At 46.7% G+C, this 18055-nt stretch overlaps 1 long non-coding RNA gene across 7 annotated transcripts in view; it reads right to left on the reverse strand.

Annotated features, from left to right (window-relative positions):
• Positions 1-18055, reverse strand: part of MIR4435-2HG (MIR4435-2 host gene) — a 299296-nt gene that overhangs the window by 168077 nt on the left and 113164 nt on the right. For 3 of the 7 annotated variants that reach the window (NR_136164.1, NR_136163.1, NR_136161.1), the window contains exon 2: positions 3545-3633. The exons of 1 other annotated variant lie outside the window; for it this stretch is intronic. This is a non-coding gene — a long non-coding RNA (MIR4435-2 host gene). Of the gene's footprint in view, positions 1-1618; positions 3634-18055 lie in introns of all 7 variants that reach the window. 3 more of the 7 variants (NR_136162.1, NR_136166.1, NR_015395.2) reach the window with 1 other exon arrangement.

Raw genomic sequence — 18055 nt, forward strand, 5'->3', positions numbered from 1 at the left:
TAAAGGAAGAACAAAGTTGAAGGACTAACATTGCTTGATTTTGAGACTTGTTATAAAGCTACATTAATCAGGACAGTGGAGCCTTCTATTATTGGCATTGCTTATACAGAAGCAACCAACAATCCTTCCCTCTCCGTAATAATGCTCCTGAAATCGAGAGGTAGAGTCTCATACCCTTCTCCTTCAACCTGGTCTGGCCATAGCAACTTGCTTTCCTTACAGAATATGGCAAAAGAAACTATAGGATGTGTAAGCTAGGTCACAGGAAACTTTGCAGCTTCTGCCTGGGTCTCTTGAAACATGTGCTTTTGGAAAAGCCATTCTAGGGTAAGCCACTACTAAGAAGTCTGACTTTCCTGAGAATGCCGTACTGTGAAGAAGTGAAAACTAGACACATAGATAGGAGGTAGGGAGAGAATTAGAAGCTCAATCATTCCCCAGCTGTTCCAGCCTACTCCACTGAGGTGCTAGATATGGAAATGAAGGAGTCATATGGGGCCTTCAGCCTCCTTGAGCCTCCAGATTGCTGCTCCAGCCATCATCCAACTGCAAATGCATGAGAGAACCCAAGTAAGAATTGCCCAGCTGAACCTGGCCAACCTCCAATATCATGAGAGATGATAATAAATTGTTGTTTCAAGGCCAAAAAATAAATCAAGACAAACATCAATGGAACTAACAATCAAGAGTCCAAACATACACTGATTTTCGACAAAGACATAAAACAATGCAGTGGAGAAATGTCTTTTCAACAAATGTTGAGGGAACAATTGGGTAAACACATGTAAAAAAGTAAACTTTGCTCCATGCCTCACACCATATTTAAAAATAAGTTCTGGGTCGGGCATGGTGGCTCACGCCTGCAATCCTAGCACCTTGGGAGGCCGAGGCGGGTGGATGGCCTGAGCTCAGGAATTCGAGACCAGCCTGGGCAACATGGTGGAACTCCGTCTCTACTAAAATACAAAAAATTAGCCAGGCGTGATGGCACACACCTGTAATCCCAGCTACTCAGGAAGCTGAGACAGGAGAATCGCTTGAACCTGGGAAGTGGAAGTTGCAGTGAGCCAAGATAGTGCCATTGCACTCCAGCCTGGGCGACAGAGTGAGACTCCATCTCAAAGAATAAATAAATAAATAAATAAATATAAAAACGAGTTCAAAATTGATCATTACAGATTGAAATTTCTACAGCTTCTAGGAGAATATTGTTGTGACTTAGGTTAGGCAAAGATTTCTTACATCAAAAGCATAATCTGTAAAAGAAAATATTGACAAATTGGATTTCTTTGAAATTAAAAACAAAAGACATTGTTAAGAAAATGAAAGAACAAGCTACAGGCTTGAAGAAAATATTTGCAAATCATATACCTAATAAGGAACTTGTATCCACAATACATAAAGAACTCCCAAAACTCAATAATAAGAAATCAAACAATCCAAATAAAAAAAATGGACAAAATATCTAAACAGACATTTCACCAAGGAAGAGTTATGAATGACAAACAAGTATATGAAAAGCGTCCCATCATTATTAGTCACTAGGGAGATGCACATTAAAATCACAACGAGATACGGCTATGCACCCATTAAAATGAATACAATAGAAAAGACTGACCTTAGGAAGCACTGTCGAGGATGCAGCGCAAAGGAATCTCTCATACAGTGATAATGGGTTTTAGAAATGACAGGGCTGTCATTAACCAAATCTTTTCCAATCCTAGTAAAGGTATTACTGTCTAAATTTCAGTCTTCCTCTTCATAGGGCCACGGTAAAACCAGCTTTCCAGTGTCTCACAAGGGTACCCCCAACAGCAGTGAGCTTTGCACTTTAAGCAATCTGGGGTGGCTCTAGCTTAGAAACAATCTTTCTGGTGTTTTCTTTGAGGCACCAGACAACGAAAGCCACGAGACACAGCCTACTGTGTGTTCAATGGTCTGTCCAGCTCTCTTGGATTTGGTTGTTGGTTCCTTTAAGGCGTCTTGAAAGGCAGCGTGGTGCCCAATTAAATGAAAACCAGGAAGGCATAATGCACCACGACTATCAGCAATCAGCTCTAGACAGTTCGTTGAGGACAGAACAAAACTTTGTGTTTCAGCAAGTGCTTTTCTGTCTGCCTCTCTGCCTGCAGTTAGAGGAAGGGGCCAGGTTAAGGCCAGAAAAGATTCTGCTTTAGCTGATAAAGGGAAAGCTCTGTGCCAGGAAGCCTGTGGTTTTCTGTCTTTGGAAGTTCTCCCCTCCGGGGCTTAGGAGGGAGAGACACCTTCCTCCTAAAGCATCGTATCGCCTATTGCCCAGGGGAAGCAAGTCTCACACATCCGGGCCGGGAGACCCTGATCACCCCGGGCTGCGTACTCGATTTCAGGCCAGCAAGACACTAGGTTTTCTCTCTTAAATGTTTTAACTGTCGAGTTCCATGCTCCGCCTCCTCGGGCTTCTTATCCTGCAGGCATAGGCGGAGGGAGGCAGCTTCCAGGCTGGGGTGGGAGAAGCACCGGCGGCGCGCGCTGCGGTCGGTGCGGGTCCGGGAGCGCAGCGCAGGCAGCGCGGGGCCTCGCGGTGAACTTGGCCGCCGGCGAGGCTGGGCTTCTCGGGCGCGGGAGCCCCAGATCCTGACAGAGCCAGGCTGCCGGCTCAGCGTTGTGTTGTGACAGAAAAGGCTGCCTTTTACCTTTCCTGAAAACAATTCCCGGGATCTGTTAGAGGGGAGGTTCAGTCACTCTGAAATGACCAGCGACATCTCTTAGAGCCAAAATCAGTCAACGCGGAAAAGACACTCCAATTTTTAAAACCAATAGGTAGTTGATAAATGGAGCTGTCAGTCTAGAAGCCCCTGGGCCCAGCGTGCTTCTGCAGAGCCGGGTAGTTTCAGAGTCGGCGCTCTCTGAGATTCCAGCTGGTCCACCCGGCGGGGCTCCTGTTGGCCTCACAGAGCACGTGGCTTTGCGGGATGTGATGCGACCCCAGCGTGGGCTTAACTGATGCTAGGCACCAGGCTGTGGATCCAGGGACCCCGGGACACACAGAAGTCCAGCTCTCATCCCTCATCCAATTTCACTTTTTTTTTTTTTTAACCCTCAAAAGACCCAGATGCCGTTTTAGGGGGACAGGATGTATTGAAGATTTATAAATGGAGCAATCTCCTAATCAAAATAAACATCATCCAATCATGCTCACAGGGTGGTGGCAAATTAGTGGCAGCATATTTTGTTTTCTTTAGCGGTGATCCATGATTGATTTATGGATTAAATTGTGCCCTGTGAAGTACATATATATCTGTGAACTGTCTCCCTAAGCATTTCCTGTTCACCTCTGTGCCACATGCCTGGCTGAAGGAGAGAATTGTTTCTCCTCTAGGCAGGAGCTGTCTGCATAGCTCCTTGGGCTGGGATAGTGTCTGCTTAGGGCTGCATTCGGCTTTGTCTTCTGCTCTGTCCTCTGAGCTCAGCAAAAGGCCTATAAAAAGGAAGGCCGACTCTCCTACACATCCACAGGGCCCCCAAGCTCTTCATCTGTGAAGTGGGACAATAATGCTTGTCTTACCAGTCTGATAGTGTTCTTTTGAGGATACAGTTCATTAAGGTTGGAAAAGATGCTGGTGACTGCAGCCTTTGCTGATCCACTTTGCTTGTCTGTGAGATAAAGGAGATGATACATCTTTATCAGTAATGCTTCAGTTACTTTATTTTTAAAAAATAAATTGCAGTAAGCATTATAAAATATTACAGTTGTTACTCCCAGAATGTGGCTACACAGGTATTTATGTTATTCTCTGTGTTTTTCTGTGTCTTTCAAAGTCTTCTCATCCAATAAAAAGAAAAGAAGAGGCAAGAAGAAAGAGGAGTTATGCAAAATCTGGTACCCTTAACTTAGACTTTCTCTGGTTCTATGGACAGGAAAATGCTCACAAAACCTGAGTCCTGTAGGAATGAGAGGTATGACAATTATTCATGATATTTCTGTTCCTTCCATTGCTCTGGGAATTTACTAAAATCCTGCAGCAGGTTTCACCCCTACACTCAACCCCATTTGTCTAAGGCAGCTGTTTGCTCACCGGGCTGATTTGCTGGTGGGATAGGAATTTTCTAGCTGAAGAAGGGTAAGCCCAGGATGATGTCATTTATAAGATTTTGCTTCCATCTCCTCCTCCCTCCCCAACAATCCCAACCTGTACCAAATAGGAACATACACCTGTAGGAAGAGAAACTATGATCTCTAGTCATTAAAAATGTGCTTTGTATGATGCAATCCCAAATGCTCTTGGGCTTAACAAAAACACATTGCAAGACTCACATTGACATTGACATTTCCACTCCTCTAACTTAAAAACAGCCAAACTAAATTAAGTAACAACAACAACAAAAGTTGTTTCCCACACAGTTTGACCAGATCTTACCACCAGTCTTCAGCCTTAAAACAATTTTCATGCTTGAGTTATTAACTTATGAAAATAGGCACAAAAGGGGGAAAATGTGCACAGATCCTCGCTACTTTATTAGTCATTGCTACAGCTGAATGCGTTCTGGTACAAAGGCATGTTATTCTGCCTGCCAGTATCTCGGTTTTGAACAAAATGCAGCTCACTAATGGGTTCTGCCTCATATACCTTTCTGTAATCATTACTTTGCCATTCTCTGTAATTTATCCTGTTTTTCATGAGGAGTGTGTCCATTAGTCAGGCGTGTGCACACACATGCACACACAGCTTTTAAGTCCCCTTTCATTTGTAGCTGAAAAGAAAGGTCAGAGAGCTGCCAGTCTTTCGGGGGGAAGCACTACTGCGCTGATTGTGATAATATTTGGAAAACAGAGTGGTGGATGTGGTGGATGGATATAAATAGATCCTGAAAATCTAGTGAATGGAGGGCAGCAACATGAGTACATGAAGGGGATCTAGAAGCAGACTGGCAAAGGTGGAGACAGAATGGGAGAGACTGACCTGTCCCGTGTTGATCTCTTTATCTGGGAGGGGCAGTGTGGGGCTGACATCTTCCTGGACCAGACAGAGACATCTTGCTCACTTGCTCAGTAATCTCAAGTTTGGGGGATGAGCTCCAAGATTCCGACAGGAACCCCCTTTTGGCAATTTCTGGCTTGGGCTCAGAGGTGCTGCCCCAAGCCAGTCTGAGCCAAGTGAATAAAGGAATGGAGTTTTGAGCCTATTGATTTTTGCTTCTGTAAACTCCAGAATTAGTTATAGAAATGAAGGCTTTTGAGTGTTTACTTTTGAAAAAAAAAAGAGCAGGCAGGAAAATAATTGGGAAAAAATACGGATGAGATTTTTTTAAAAGCTTGATGAAGATCAAGGTTTTCACAAACAAGTGTGAATCACTAGAACCAGCTCCTCACAGATCAGAGGTCTGCAGGGGGCTGGGGATCTGGCAAACAGGCCCTCCGTGGGCAGGGAGCTCCCCAACAATTCTCAGCCAGCAAGAGAAGCCTTTGGCATCGTCCTCTTGAATTAGGATAACAGGATTCTCCATCATACACTTGCCTGGTTAGGGAGGCAGTAATTGTGAACCGAACATGTTCTTTTATCCTCTTTGAAGTGTTAACGAATGCTTTGATTTTGCTCTTTTCTCCTCATTAAGACAAATATGGCTCCTTTTTGCCCCCAGGAAGCTAATCTCACCTCCCAAGCCAAACAGGCATCCTGCTGCTCAGCTGAGTCCAATCCCAAGGAGGTCCTCTCCTGTCCTTGCCAAAGACCCCTCTACCAGGATTCTGACCCAGGCCCAGGTGCAGGGCATCTCAGTGCTTCACATTGTTCTGGGAGCCCAGGGTGCATCACCATGGAGCCCCAGCTCACGTGACAACATAACAGTGTTCGCAGTAATTCTCAACCCTAGATATCCTGTTCACTACGAAACACAGGCATGTTAAGTTTCCCTGATACTCTCCTGCAGAGGCTAGCAGGCTGCACAGAATTTAGGAAGACAGAGCCCCTCAAAGATCTGGAATCTTTGGCAATTACAAAGCCCAATCCTGCCCACAGCCTTCTTTTACCAGAGACAAAGCAAAATGGTTTGCCCAGAGCCTCACTGCCAGACAGTGGCAGAACTGAGTCTGGAAGTGGCCTTGCTTCTCCCAGCTGACATTGAACCCCTGAGGCTCATCTGCCATCAAACTCCTACCTGCAGCCCTCACTTCCCCCCTCCCAGTGCCAGGGCAAAGTCAGTGAGATGGAAATCTGCAGACTGGAGCAGGTGGGTTACTCGGAGGCCACTGAAGGTGGAATAGGTCCCTTTTGCACTGTCTTCCAACCAGAGAGGAACACAGGCCAGTGGGTCAGAGTGCTAGGCCCCAGAGTCACAGACACAGGGCATGGCCCAAAGGGCCCAGTGAGGACATTCCTGCAGATGGCTATAGGCTGGTAGAGAGCTAGGAGGCCTGGTGAACTCTGTCGTGTGGGCAATGGGAAGGTGGACAGAGGAGTGTTCTTGAGAAAGAAATTCAAAGCTGAGAAAACCTAACCCCTCCTATCTCATTCCTCTTAGGCATAATCCCCACGGGCAACAGGCTCAGTGTCTGGCTGAATGTGCACCTCTCTTTTGAATCCCTCCCCCATCGATGAGGTTGGTGTCACAAATTAGACCCTCTCCCCTATTTTCTTCTTTTCAACAATCTTAACCATTTTAAGTGTACAGTTCAGTAGTGTTATGTACATTCACATTGTTATGTGACCAATCTCCAAAACTCATTTCATCCCCCAAAACTGAAATTCTTAGGCATTAAACAACTCTCCATTCCCCAGTCCTGGAAGCCACCATTCTTTTTTGAGACAGAGTCTCTATCACCCAGGCTGGAGTGCAGTGGTGCGATCTCAGCTCACCACCACTTCTGCCTCCTGGGTTCAACCGATTCTTATACCTCAGCCCCCCGAGTAGCTGGGATTACAGGTGCACACCACCACACCTGGCTAATTTTTGTATTTTTAGTAGAGAGGGGTTTCACTATGTTGGCCAGGCTGGTCTCGAACTCTTGACCTCAAGTGATCTGCCTGCCTCGGCCTCCCAAAGGGCTAGGATTATAGGCGTGAGCCACCGTGCCTAGCACACCATTCTGCTTTCCATCTCTATGCAGTGGACTACTCTAGGTACCTCATATAAGTGGAACTATAGTGTATTTGTCCTTTTTTGTCTGGCTTCAGTCGCTTAGCATAAAGCCTTCCAGGTTCTTCCATACTGTAGCATATAGCACTGTTTCTTTTCCTTTTAAGGCTGAATAATATTCCACTGTATGTATAGACCACATTTTGTTTATTCATCCATCTGTAAACACTCGGGTTGTTTCTACCTTTTGGATATGGCAAACAATGCTGCTATATTGGAATAAGGATGTGCAAATATTTATTTGAGATCTTGCTTTCAATTTTTTTTAATACACACCTAGAAGTGGAACTTCTGGGTCATATGGTTGTTCTATTTGTAATTTTTTGAAGAACTGCCATCCTGTTTTCCACAGTGGCTGTAGCATTTCATATTCTCACCAAAAGTGCAGAAGGGTTCCAATTTCCCCACAACCTTGCCAACACTTGATATTTTCCGTTTTATTGCTATTAGCCATTCTAACGGTGTGGGGGTGATGTCTCATTTTAGTTTTTATTTGCTTTTCTCTAATCATTAGTGATGCCAGTCATCTTTTCACATGCTTTTTGGCCATTTATTAATATATATCATCTTTGTAGAAATATCTATCTAAGTCCTTTGCCCATTTTCTAATCAGGTTGTTGTTGCTGAGTTATAGGAGTTCTTTATCTTCCCACTCCCTGGACCTTTTTTTTTTGTTTGCAACTGAAAAACTAAAGGCTCAAAGAGGCAGACGGCCTGCTGAAGCCTTTGCCCAGGGGCTGCTTAGCAGCAGCAGCAGGGAAAAACTAACCCTGGCTGACCCTAGCTTAGGTAGCAACTACAGAGCTCTCAGCCCATTCTCCCAGCCACACAGCCTCAGAGCAAATACTGTCCATCAAATGCACACTCTGTGTTCACAGCCTCATGTGCCAAATTGCTGTTGGAAAACCAATGGCAAACACTGGTTGCAGAGAACACAGAAGCATGTAATATCCACTTTAATGGTGGTTCCACTTTCATATTTTTTCTCCCCTCTAAGGAAAGGGAGAGAGAAAAACCTGTTCGTGGAAAAAATATATTTAAATGGATCAGTGCCAGGGAACCATTGGCACATCTGTTCTTAACAGGTTTCAGCTGAAACTACTGAAAATATACATAGATCTGTTTATGTGGAACCAGTTAAATATGATAAGATTACAACTTGGAGGGTAACTATGGATTTGGTGGTGGAAAAAAAAAATCCCCTCCACACTTGGTCTCCGCAAGCACTCATAACATTTTACCACAGATGTGTTGAGGGAATCAGATTTGCTGCAAATGGAAAAGACCTGAATTATTTGAGATTAGCTACAAACAAACTCAAGATGTCCCCACCGCCTTTCTGCAGCACATAATTCCTGCCTCGTCTCTAATCTGGGCCCAGTCCTTTGTTATCAGAGAGGAGACTGCAGCCAGGGAATCACCCATTTCTGAGTGAGTCTGTCTTCACTCCTCCAACTAGCCATTTAGGAGGAAGACAGTGTGCACACTGCTTACACAGAGAATGCACAGTTGTCTTCCTTAAAGTTTTCAGCATCCCAAAGGACTCCATGTTCTCTTGAGGTTGTGCAGGCAGCAAGGAGGGAGTGTTGGCTGAGGGGCTCCCAATGGAGGCCCTGTGCTCCTTCTGGAGTCTTTTTCTATGTAGTACTCACAACCACCCTATGAGGTTGCATTGTCACCCCCCTTACAGAGATGAGCAAATTGAGGCTCCAGGCTCTAGGATAATTTGTCCAGGGCCATGCCGATAATTAGATGCTCTAAAGGAAGAAAGATGTTTCCTCCCATCTAAATATGCCTTAACAGGAGCATCACTTGAGCCCAGGAGTTCAAGGCTGCAGTGAGTTATGATTGTGCCACTGCACTCCAGCCTGGGCAACAGAGCAAGACCCTTCCTATATTAACAATAAATAAATAATACGTGAATAAGCCTTGAGGCAAGGTCATGACTCAAATATCCACAGAGTCTAGCAGGAGCAGGAGTGAGGGGCCCTAGGCAGCTAATATGGGGCCATAGCAGACTGATACTGGGGAAAATGCAGACCTTGTGGCCCAGATCTTCTGGTTTTTGTATAGAGAATGAGAAATCACTAGATTTTTGTATGATGGCTCAAATATTGAAAACAAACACAAAGCACAGCCCCTGCTATAGTTTGCAATCTCCACTGTGGGTCCTTTGCTGCCCCCAGCGGTGGGAGGAAGGGGCTGCACTGGCTTTGAACCCCCTCTTGTTGGGGACTGAGCATCTGACCATCAGGATCCTTGCCTCCTGGTGCAGGAGGTGTCTGTCACAGGCCACAGGCACCGCAGCTCAGCACCCTCATCCCAGTGTCCCTTCTAAACTTCATTAGACTCCTCAACTCTGGCACACTGTGAAATGTATATTCATCTATAAACATTTCTCTAATAATTTATCTCAAAAAAGTGACATCAGTCTCTAAAATGCACCACGGGACACAGGAATGGCAGTCTCATGGCCTCAAAAACAATCAGCCAAAATTGACATCTGACAACACCTCCTCCCGCACCCCCAGGGGCCGGGCTGTGATCCGTAAGGTTTTCATTCTTGCTGGACCCCACGCTGTGAAAATGCACCTATTTTTATTCATCAAAATCATTTTTTTAAAATAAGCAGCCCAGCGGAAAACAATTGTGAATGGCAGCTTCATTACATTTGGAGTTTTGGAACAAAGACAATATTGCTCACACTCTATGACCTGTTCAATGATACTGAAGTTTAATTAAAAAAATGTTAACGTACTAAACTGACAACAAGGAAGGTGCAACATTAGGGTTTCTTTGAAAAATCAGGAAAGCAAAATATGCTTGACGGATTGTCTCAGTTATCAATTCAATGTGATTTAACATTTGTCTTTTGGTTTTTATTTGAAACTTTCAGTTTTGAACTAGTAGGGCAATAATCCAAGCTGTATGGAACCAAAGTGGGGAGGTTGGTGGGACTCGGAGGGAAAGTTGAATAGAGGGACCCCTATTGGCCCTTTAGAGGGCTCAAATATCATCCTGGGCAAAGTTGTTTCTTAAAGGTCCCACTAGAATTGGCTACTGTTCCGGCTCCCCTAGAAAAGCCCTTGAAAGGGTATTTTCTGAGCAAGAAACATGGTGATGCTTCCACCACGTGACTGGTTTAAGACAGTCATTCTAGTAGACCTGATAAGTGAAAGCCAATTATTTTGAAGCAATAGAGTAAGTGGTGTGTGGGCAGCCACTGCATATTTAACCCAGCCTGAGATTCATTAATTATGAAAGACTTTTCTTCTGAGATGATGCGATAATAGAATACGAAAATTTAAGTGCTGAAAGTATGTCAATGCATTGATTTTAAAGAAGGTGATCTAAAGCAGCAAAAAGTGATCCACATGCTCTCTGGATAGTCTCTAGGACATGTCATGTCAGTTCATGTCTTAAAGCCCCATAAAAGAGAGCCATTTTCCCCCAACCACAGAGCCCTGAGATCTGGCCAGAGGTCCCATGGTGGAAGACTCGCTCCCACTGTAGCCTGTGAAAGAGGAAAGCCACTGGCCCTCATCTTGGGGACCCGTGAAGACCCACCTCCCACTTGGAGCAAGTGAGGGAACTGCAGGGTATTGGGTGAGGCCTGCTATACTTCCTACAGGCTTTGGGTCTTGGAGGTAATGGTACCAGCCTCATAGTGTGGGAGTTGGAGCGTCTGCTTCCACCCTGAGAAAATAGGTATGGGAGCAGGTCACAAGCTAGGACAGTGCCTCGACCTCCCTGAGGAAAAGACCAGAATGTATTCAGAGTCCAGGGTCCAAACCAGGGTTCTGGAGTGGCAAATTTAAGGCCTTGAGGCTGGACTGGACCAGTGCAGAGTCAGGGAGCCACAGCTGTGACCTCAGGGAGGTGCTTGTCATGCACAGGGAGGAGGCTGCATTCTGTTCTCAGAGTGACAGGAAGCCACTGTTGAGTTCCAAGGGGGAGAAGGACATGGCTCAATGTGCCTTTCCCAAAGATCTTGCCGGGTCTCTCTGGAGTAGGAGTCTGGACAGGTAAGAGTCTGGACTGTGGGCCAAGTGGGAGACATGGGATGGGAGACAACAGGATGGACTCTTGAGACATTTCACAGATAGAGTCAGCAAGGCACAGGGAGGCACTGGGTGAGGAAGGTGAGGGCAGGGTCCATGGATAAATTTCACAGATAGAGCCAGCAAGGCACAGGGGGGCACTGGGTGAGGGAGGTGAGGGCAGGGTCCATGGATAAGGCACCTAAAACCCCTGGTTTCCCATTTAGAGAAAGAATCCAATAATTCCTACCCGTCTGAGCTGTTGTGAGGACAGAGAATGGTGCATGCCATGAGTGGCTCACAACAGGGCTCCAAGGAGTGAGGGTCTGGCTGTGCTCCTGTTACCTCCTTTTGTCATCACAAGCACAGATGATGGACATCTGTCTCTAGCTATGTTACTTCTGACCCCCCAGCCCCAGCAAAGCAGGAAGTGGGGCCTGGGTGGAGAGGGGTGACAAGGCGGGTTTGAATTGATCTTTCTGAGAAATCATGTGCAACTTCACAAGCAAAACAGTTACGCAATAAACTTCCAGGTTCTTAAAACCATGCTGAGGGTTACAAAAAGAAAGTTAACGGGATGCTGATGTGGACTGTGCAAATCGTTAACATACTGAAAACCTCTGTGTCCATGGTGACGTATGTACAAGTGAGCTGGATGAGTGACTGCCCCCTAAGGCCAGGATCCCTGTGTCCACTCTCTGCCGTGCCTGTCCCCATCATCACTCCTGGTGAAGCAGGGACGATAGCAGAGTTCCCACTGGAGGACCAAACATGCATCCAGCCCTGGAAAACAGTGCCACACTAGGCACACTGGACCTTCCCAGCCCTGGGCAGTGGGACATGCTAGAGAAGTTGATTCACAGGGGAAACTGGGTCCTATCTGTGGGGTCTTCCCACTGGCTGGAAGGGTTCCTGGAGGAGGAGTTTCAGGGCTCTGTGAGGATGGGTAGGAGGGCCTATGGGGCAAGGTTCATAGCATCCTGCTTGGAGAAGGACACATACCCTGTTTCCTCAGAGCCAACACATTTTCCATTCTAAATATAGCCTAAGATGACCCAAGACATCTTGAGTCCCTTGCAGGGAGACCGCAGTTTTGTAATTTTCGGCACTTCTATGATTCTGAGGAAATGAACAGTAAAGCCCGAAGCCCTTTCACTTGCATCCCCTGAGCCTGGGGACTGGCAGACAACACTCCACCCTTTGAAAGAAGAGCCCAGGCAAGCTGGCCCTGGTGAGAAGCTCCCTTTAGCAACCAATTTTAGGAGATTCCACAATAGTTTGTCAGCCTACTGTCTCCCTCCGGCAAAGTGAAGTGAGGCTTCTGTTCACCCAGCATGGGTCACTGTCACCCCAGGCCCACAATGAGTAGCTCTTTCCATGACCCTTGGGATGGTTCACCTCCTGAGAGAGGCCCAGCTCTGACAGGCTTTCAGTTGGACAATAGATTTCAGTCTCCCCTGAAATCGTTGCTGCATCACCAGCTTTCGTAGCATTTCTGCAAAGTCTAAGATACAAGACTTTCAAAGAGGGAGCGCCCACTACATGCCTGGGGCACAGCGGTGACTCTTGGCTTGGAGGCGCTTCTCTGCTTGTTTGTAAGCCAGGGGATATTTTTACTATCTGAGTGGGGCCCTGTTAATTGCTTCACAAGCACTTCTGGGGAAGTTCACTTTCCAGGGGCCAGTCGTTAACTCCAACAGTGCCAGCGCTTCCCAGCCAGGGGCCTACATAAAGAGGTGCATTAGTTATCCCTAAAGGGTTAATGACTGGAGATGCGAGGACAGTCATGTTGAGTTATATATAGCAAACAGTGAGCAAAGCAGGCAAGCACAAAAAAAGGAAGACAGGAAAAAAACTGCATGGATATACTCCCCTCCCCCAACCTTCCCTGGTCTACCCCCACCCTCCCACAACACTATATATACAGACCACAGTTAAATTTGGCACAGAGACTATAGCCAAGAAGGAAAACAGATCGAGTTACACAAAGTCCTATTCAGATTTGGGCCTGGGCCTCATGGGGACAATGCTCTGCTGAGGAGAACAAGGCCATGGTCTGTTGTCAAAAAACGCACACCCGTGCGCTTTGCTTTCCTTCCAAGCATTCGCTGGCCTGGCCCTGGGCAGCAGGTTAATTCCCTGCTCCGCAGGTGGAGACAGATAAAACAAACTGAAATGGTGTAATGGGCTACAGGAAACCTTTCTTTCAGAACTTGATTCATCTCCAGAAAGGAAACACACGAGGACTTTGCTCTGGACGGTAATCTGTTTTCTTAGGGCAGCTGAGAGAGGCCTGGCAGCCAGGGTAAATACGGCAACTGGTAGAGGGGCTTTTGGCAGATGGAGCTGCAAGAGAAGTTTGAAACGATCACTTCCTACACTCTGTTCCCTACCAAGAGTGAGCTGTCAATCTTGCAGGATGGAGGTGCTCTGGAAAACAGCAGTGGGGAGAGAGCGGGCCACAAGGGAGAAACCTGAGCCACAGGTGCGTGCCTGGGATACCCCCTACTCCTGCGGGCTGGCTCACCTGGCAGAACTCGCAGAAAGGCTGCTCCCAAGCTCACTGCTCGAAGCTAACCATGTGGAGAAAGCAGGCCAGGACTTCTGGAATGCAACCTGGGTGCAAGTCAACCTCTGCTTTGAGCAGACAAGCAGGCCCGCAGCGGGCAGGCTGCCATCGAGTGTGGCCTGAGCCTCTACTGGATGTAAAGCTGGGCATGGAGAAGGCCAGGTACCTTTTAGTCATTGGAATCATCCCCATCAGCAGGCACGCAGGACACCTCGAGGAGATGAGACAGCCAGCTAGCACGTAACAGTCAGGGCTGCATAGAACATGATAGTCATAAAGACAATCCCTCATGCCACCTTCGTGTGTGGGTCTTTCAAAAGACATTCTATCTTATTATCCCATTTGATCTTCACCTGACCCTAGATGGGTCGGGCAGGGCAGAGCATCACCCTCGTTTTACTGTGGAGGAAGTGGAGGCCCAGCAAAGCCACTCTTGCCTGAGTGGGAACAGCTGGTTCAAAGATAGCCCTTTGCCCAGCCCTCTGGGAAGATAACACCTCCGGGCCAGTCTCTGTGGTGCAGGCAGTAGTTTGTACATTTGAGTGTGCACCCAAATCAAGGGGGCCATCCTCGGCCTGGTATAGCCTGCTCCCCTCAGGTTGGGCCTGGGACTTCTGTGTGGGCCCCGGCCCCCAGCACCAAGGTGGGCATCCAGTGATCTTAGTTCACACTGGGCTTTTCCATGGACACAAGCTTAGTCTGCATTGGCAAAGTGGGGACAATAGCTCAGCATGTGTCTAGGGCTGCCTCAAACAGTGACGGACCCAGAGGATTTCATCTCCTTTCCCTGCATGATTTGATGGGCTCTCTAACTTGAACTCCCTGTGTAGAAAGAATGTGGTTATGGGCTGAGTTGCGTCTCCTCCCCCACATTCATGTGTTTAAGTCTGAACCTTCAGTTCCTCAGGATGTGACCTTATCTGGAACTAGTACCATTGCCGGTATAATTAGTTAAGATGAGATTATACTAGAGTAGGGTGGGCCCCTAATCCAACATGACTGGTGTCCTTATAAAAGGGGGAAATTCAGACACACACACAGACAGGGAGAATGCCCTGTGAAGATGCAGAGACAGGTTGGGGTGGTGCTTCTGCCAGCCAAGGAACACCAGCGGCTGCCAGCAAACACCAGAAGCACGAATGATTCTCCCTCATGGCACCCGGAAGAAACCTACGCTGCCCAAGCTGACCTTGAACTTTCATCCTCCAGAACTTCCAGGCAATCAATTTCAGTTGTTAAGATCCTCAGATTGTGGAGCTTTGTTATGGCCTTCCTGGAAGATGAACCCAGATGCTAAAAAGGCTGAGGAGTGGAAAACTGATGTCTGTGGTTAGTTTACCTTGAAAACCAACCATGAGGCCCCTTCCAGCTCTGTTCTACAGACATCGATTCTGCTTTATTGTTTTTACCAAGAGTAGTACTCCACAATTGTAAACACAGTCCACAAGTTTTCTACTCCAGACCATCTCTTTAGCAGAGAGAAGGAAATATCTGTCTTCCTTCTCCAAATCCTAACCCTACTTTGTTCTCAATAGAAATTATATTGTGTCTAAGTCTCCCAAAATGTCTCAAAAGCAAGACAAACACCCACTTCCTCTTTTGGAAACTGATGGGACCCTCTACAAATTACATGTGGAGACATCACTCTTTCCCAACCAACATAGAAACTCAAACTCTTGTCAACTTTCCTAGTATCCCAACTTGCTTTCAAGAGAAAACTAAAAACTCATTCACATGAATAAAGTATAAATGACAGTCAAGAGCTTAAAGTGTTAGCTGTCCTAGGTGGGGAATAAGCTCACAAGGAACATCGGTAAAGAGGAACATGTCAGGAGTGGGAGCCCACTTTGCCTTATACCCTGACCAGGTATGTAGTCCTCAATGTAAAACTCTCCCACTGGGTGGGAATTCCTCCCACCCCAACAACGCCAGCCTCCCTGTGGCTTTGCATCAGGCTCCATCTCCTCATCGCAGCGTGGAACTCTATTCCTGTCTCTCCAATGTCCTCACACCCCAGTGACTCCAACGTCCTCTAGGACTAGGGAAGTCTGCACGGAACCTACCAAAATCCCTGGCACTCTGACAGCCCCTTCTAGTGACAGGAGCTTAAAGTGTAGCTTAAAGAAGCAGCTTTGGACCTGGTAGTACCTAGGGCTAAATTCTGCAGTACTCAGGTGGACCATAAAATAAGGCCATATTATTAGACTTGATGTGTGAATGCCACTCTCCTTTTCTTTGATTGTCCTGTTCCTGAAATCTACCTGCTCTAGAATTGCCTCCCAGATAATGTCTCTTCTAGCCTTGCTCTTCCCCCAGAGTTTCCTATTGTTTATACAAGTCCTGGGTTATTGTTCCTCCACCCAGCATTACTTAATACATCAATTAATTAGACTATAGGCTTTCCAGAGAGAGAATCGTACTTTTATCCATTTCCCCTTCCCAGATTTTGGTGACTTACATGTAGAAGTTACTCAATAAATATCTGTTGAAGGTTAATTCAACCTGAATTTCTTGTGTTCGTCTACTCTTGTTACCTGTTTTGGTCCCCAAATCCTTCCCACTTCAGACATTCGGTCAGCCCATCAACAGAGGTTGTCTCCTAACATAGACCAAATCTATAAGGAGCTGATTTCCTATTAATTCAGTGACAAGATGTCACAGATCTTCAGAGTTGGAAGATTCTTTAGAAAGTATTTCATCCATTTCTTTAATAAGAGGCCATGTTACTCATCCAAGGCCACACAGCTGGGGAAGCAGCAGCAGGGCCTGGCAGGAAGATGTTCTGGTGGAAGTGAGGCCATTCATCATGTCCAAGAAGCTGTCATCTGGGTGGCCAGCGTTGGGTGAGAGGCCAACTCATACACTTGTTGGAAGGTTCCCTCTATTGGACCCTGGGCATTTCTATTTAACCCAAACACGCCTCTGCATAAGTCCAGGTATCTCCATCAGATCTTCTCCGCAGGTTATCCTCATAGGCAACTGGACGAGGGGCCCATCCCCAATACAACCAGGCTGCACAGACTCCTGCTCCCACCGCTGGGTAGCAGAGACACAGCCTCCTGCCCTATCTCACAAATCCATGGATGTGACCCATGGGAGTGACTTCCATTTAAAGTTTTGGGCAAATCTCGGAGATTGCTGTTTTCAACCACTGGGGAAGCTTAAAGCCAAACAGTCCTACTGGCATAGAAGTAAGCCTCATTTGTTTTCTATCTGAACACATGTTTTACATCAAGAGAAGGGCTGTGGTTGGGGTAGGGAGAGCTGAAGGGAGATTCAAAGGTTCTTCAGCTCTCACAGATCTCAACCTCTTCAAAGTTTCAACCCTCAGAGCACTTAAGATGTTTCATCCCACTCAGCAGAAGTGCCTCTGCCCACACTCTCGTGTGCCACAGTGCGTGCGTGGGAACTCAGCTGTGGTCCAGAGCCAGTAAAGGAAACGGGACAGTCACCTCACTGTACTTTTCCTAGAGGATGTAATTTCTCCTTTGGGATTTGATAAGCTTCCTAAGGCACATTCACATGCACAGGGCAGATGAGACCTGCTTGTTAGTGAGGTCACATCAAGCCTCACATGGTGATGTGTATGAATGAACTCATACTTAAAGGAATGGGCAACTCCTACCTGGGACCTTGAGCAGGTGGGTATGGGTCAGAGCCCAGAGTCAGGGTGGATAGGCAATGGGAAAGAGAGAAAAGGTTTGCTTTTAGTGGTAACCACTCTCTAGCCTCAGCATTCTCAACTGCAGACTGGAGATAATAATAATGTCCTTCTGTGATATTTGGGGGGTTGACCAAATAAGATTTCTTGTAAAAGTGCTGTGCACAGGGCAGATGAGCATCAATTCTGTGACCAGGAAGGGATTCCAGTGCCATTGCCAGCTCCTGGTTGCGTTCTTTTGAGATGATGTATTTTTTTTCAAGGGAAAGGAGCAACAAGAGGGTACCTGCAGTCTGTAGGACAATACAAGTCAAATTCTGGAGTAAAATTGTAGCACTTACACTGTGTGCTGAGTCATTTGTGATCAGAGGGAAACTGAAAAGTGGCATAACAGGGTGACGGACAGGCCCAGGAGAATTCACTATGAGTCTTGGGAGTGCTGCTAGCACCTCTGCTACCTCCTAGGTGGGTCATTTCACCTCCCTGGCCCAACTGTGAATTCAAGAATACCACATCCAGCACTGCACTGTGGCAAGGGCTCCTGCAGAATAATGCAAGGGAAGAGAGCTGGAAACGACAACGTACTGGTCACATGTGTGATGCCATTTGATGTGGTTTGGCTCTGTGTCCCCCCTCAAATCTCATGTTGAATTACAATTCCCAGTGTTGGAG

The sequence above is a fragment of the Homo sapiens genome, chromosome 2 (genome assembly GCF_000001405.40).
Source record: "Homo sapiens chromosome 2, GRCh38.p14 Primary Assembly".
In the NCBI taxonomy this organism is placed as follows: Eukaryota; Metazoa; Chordata; class Mammalia; order Primates; family Hominidae; genus Homo; species Homo sapiens.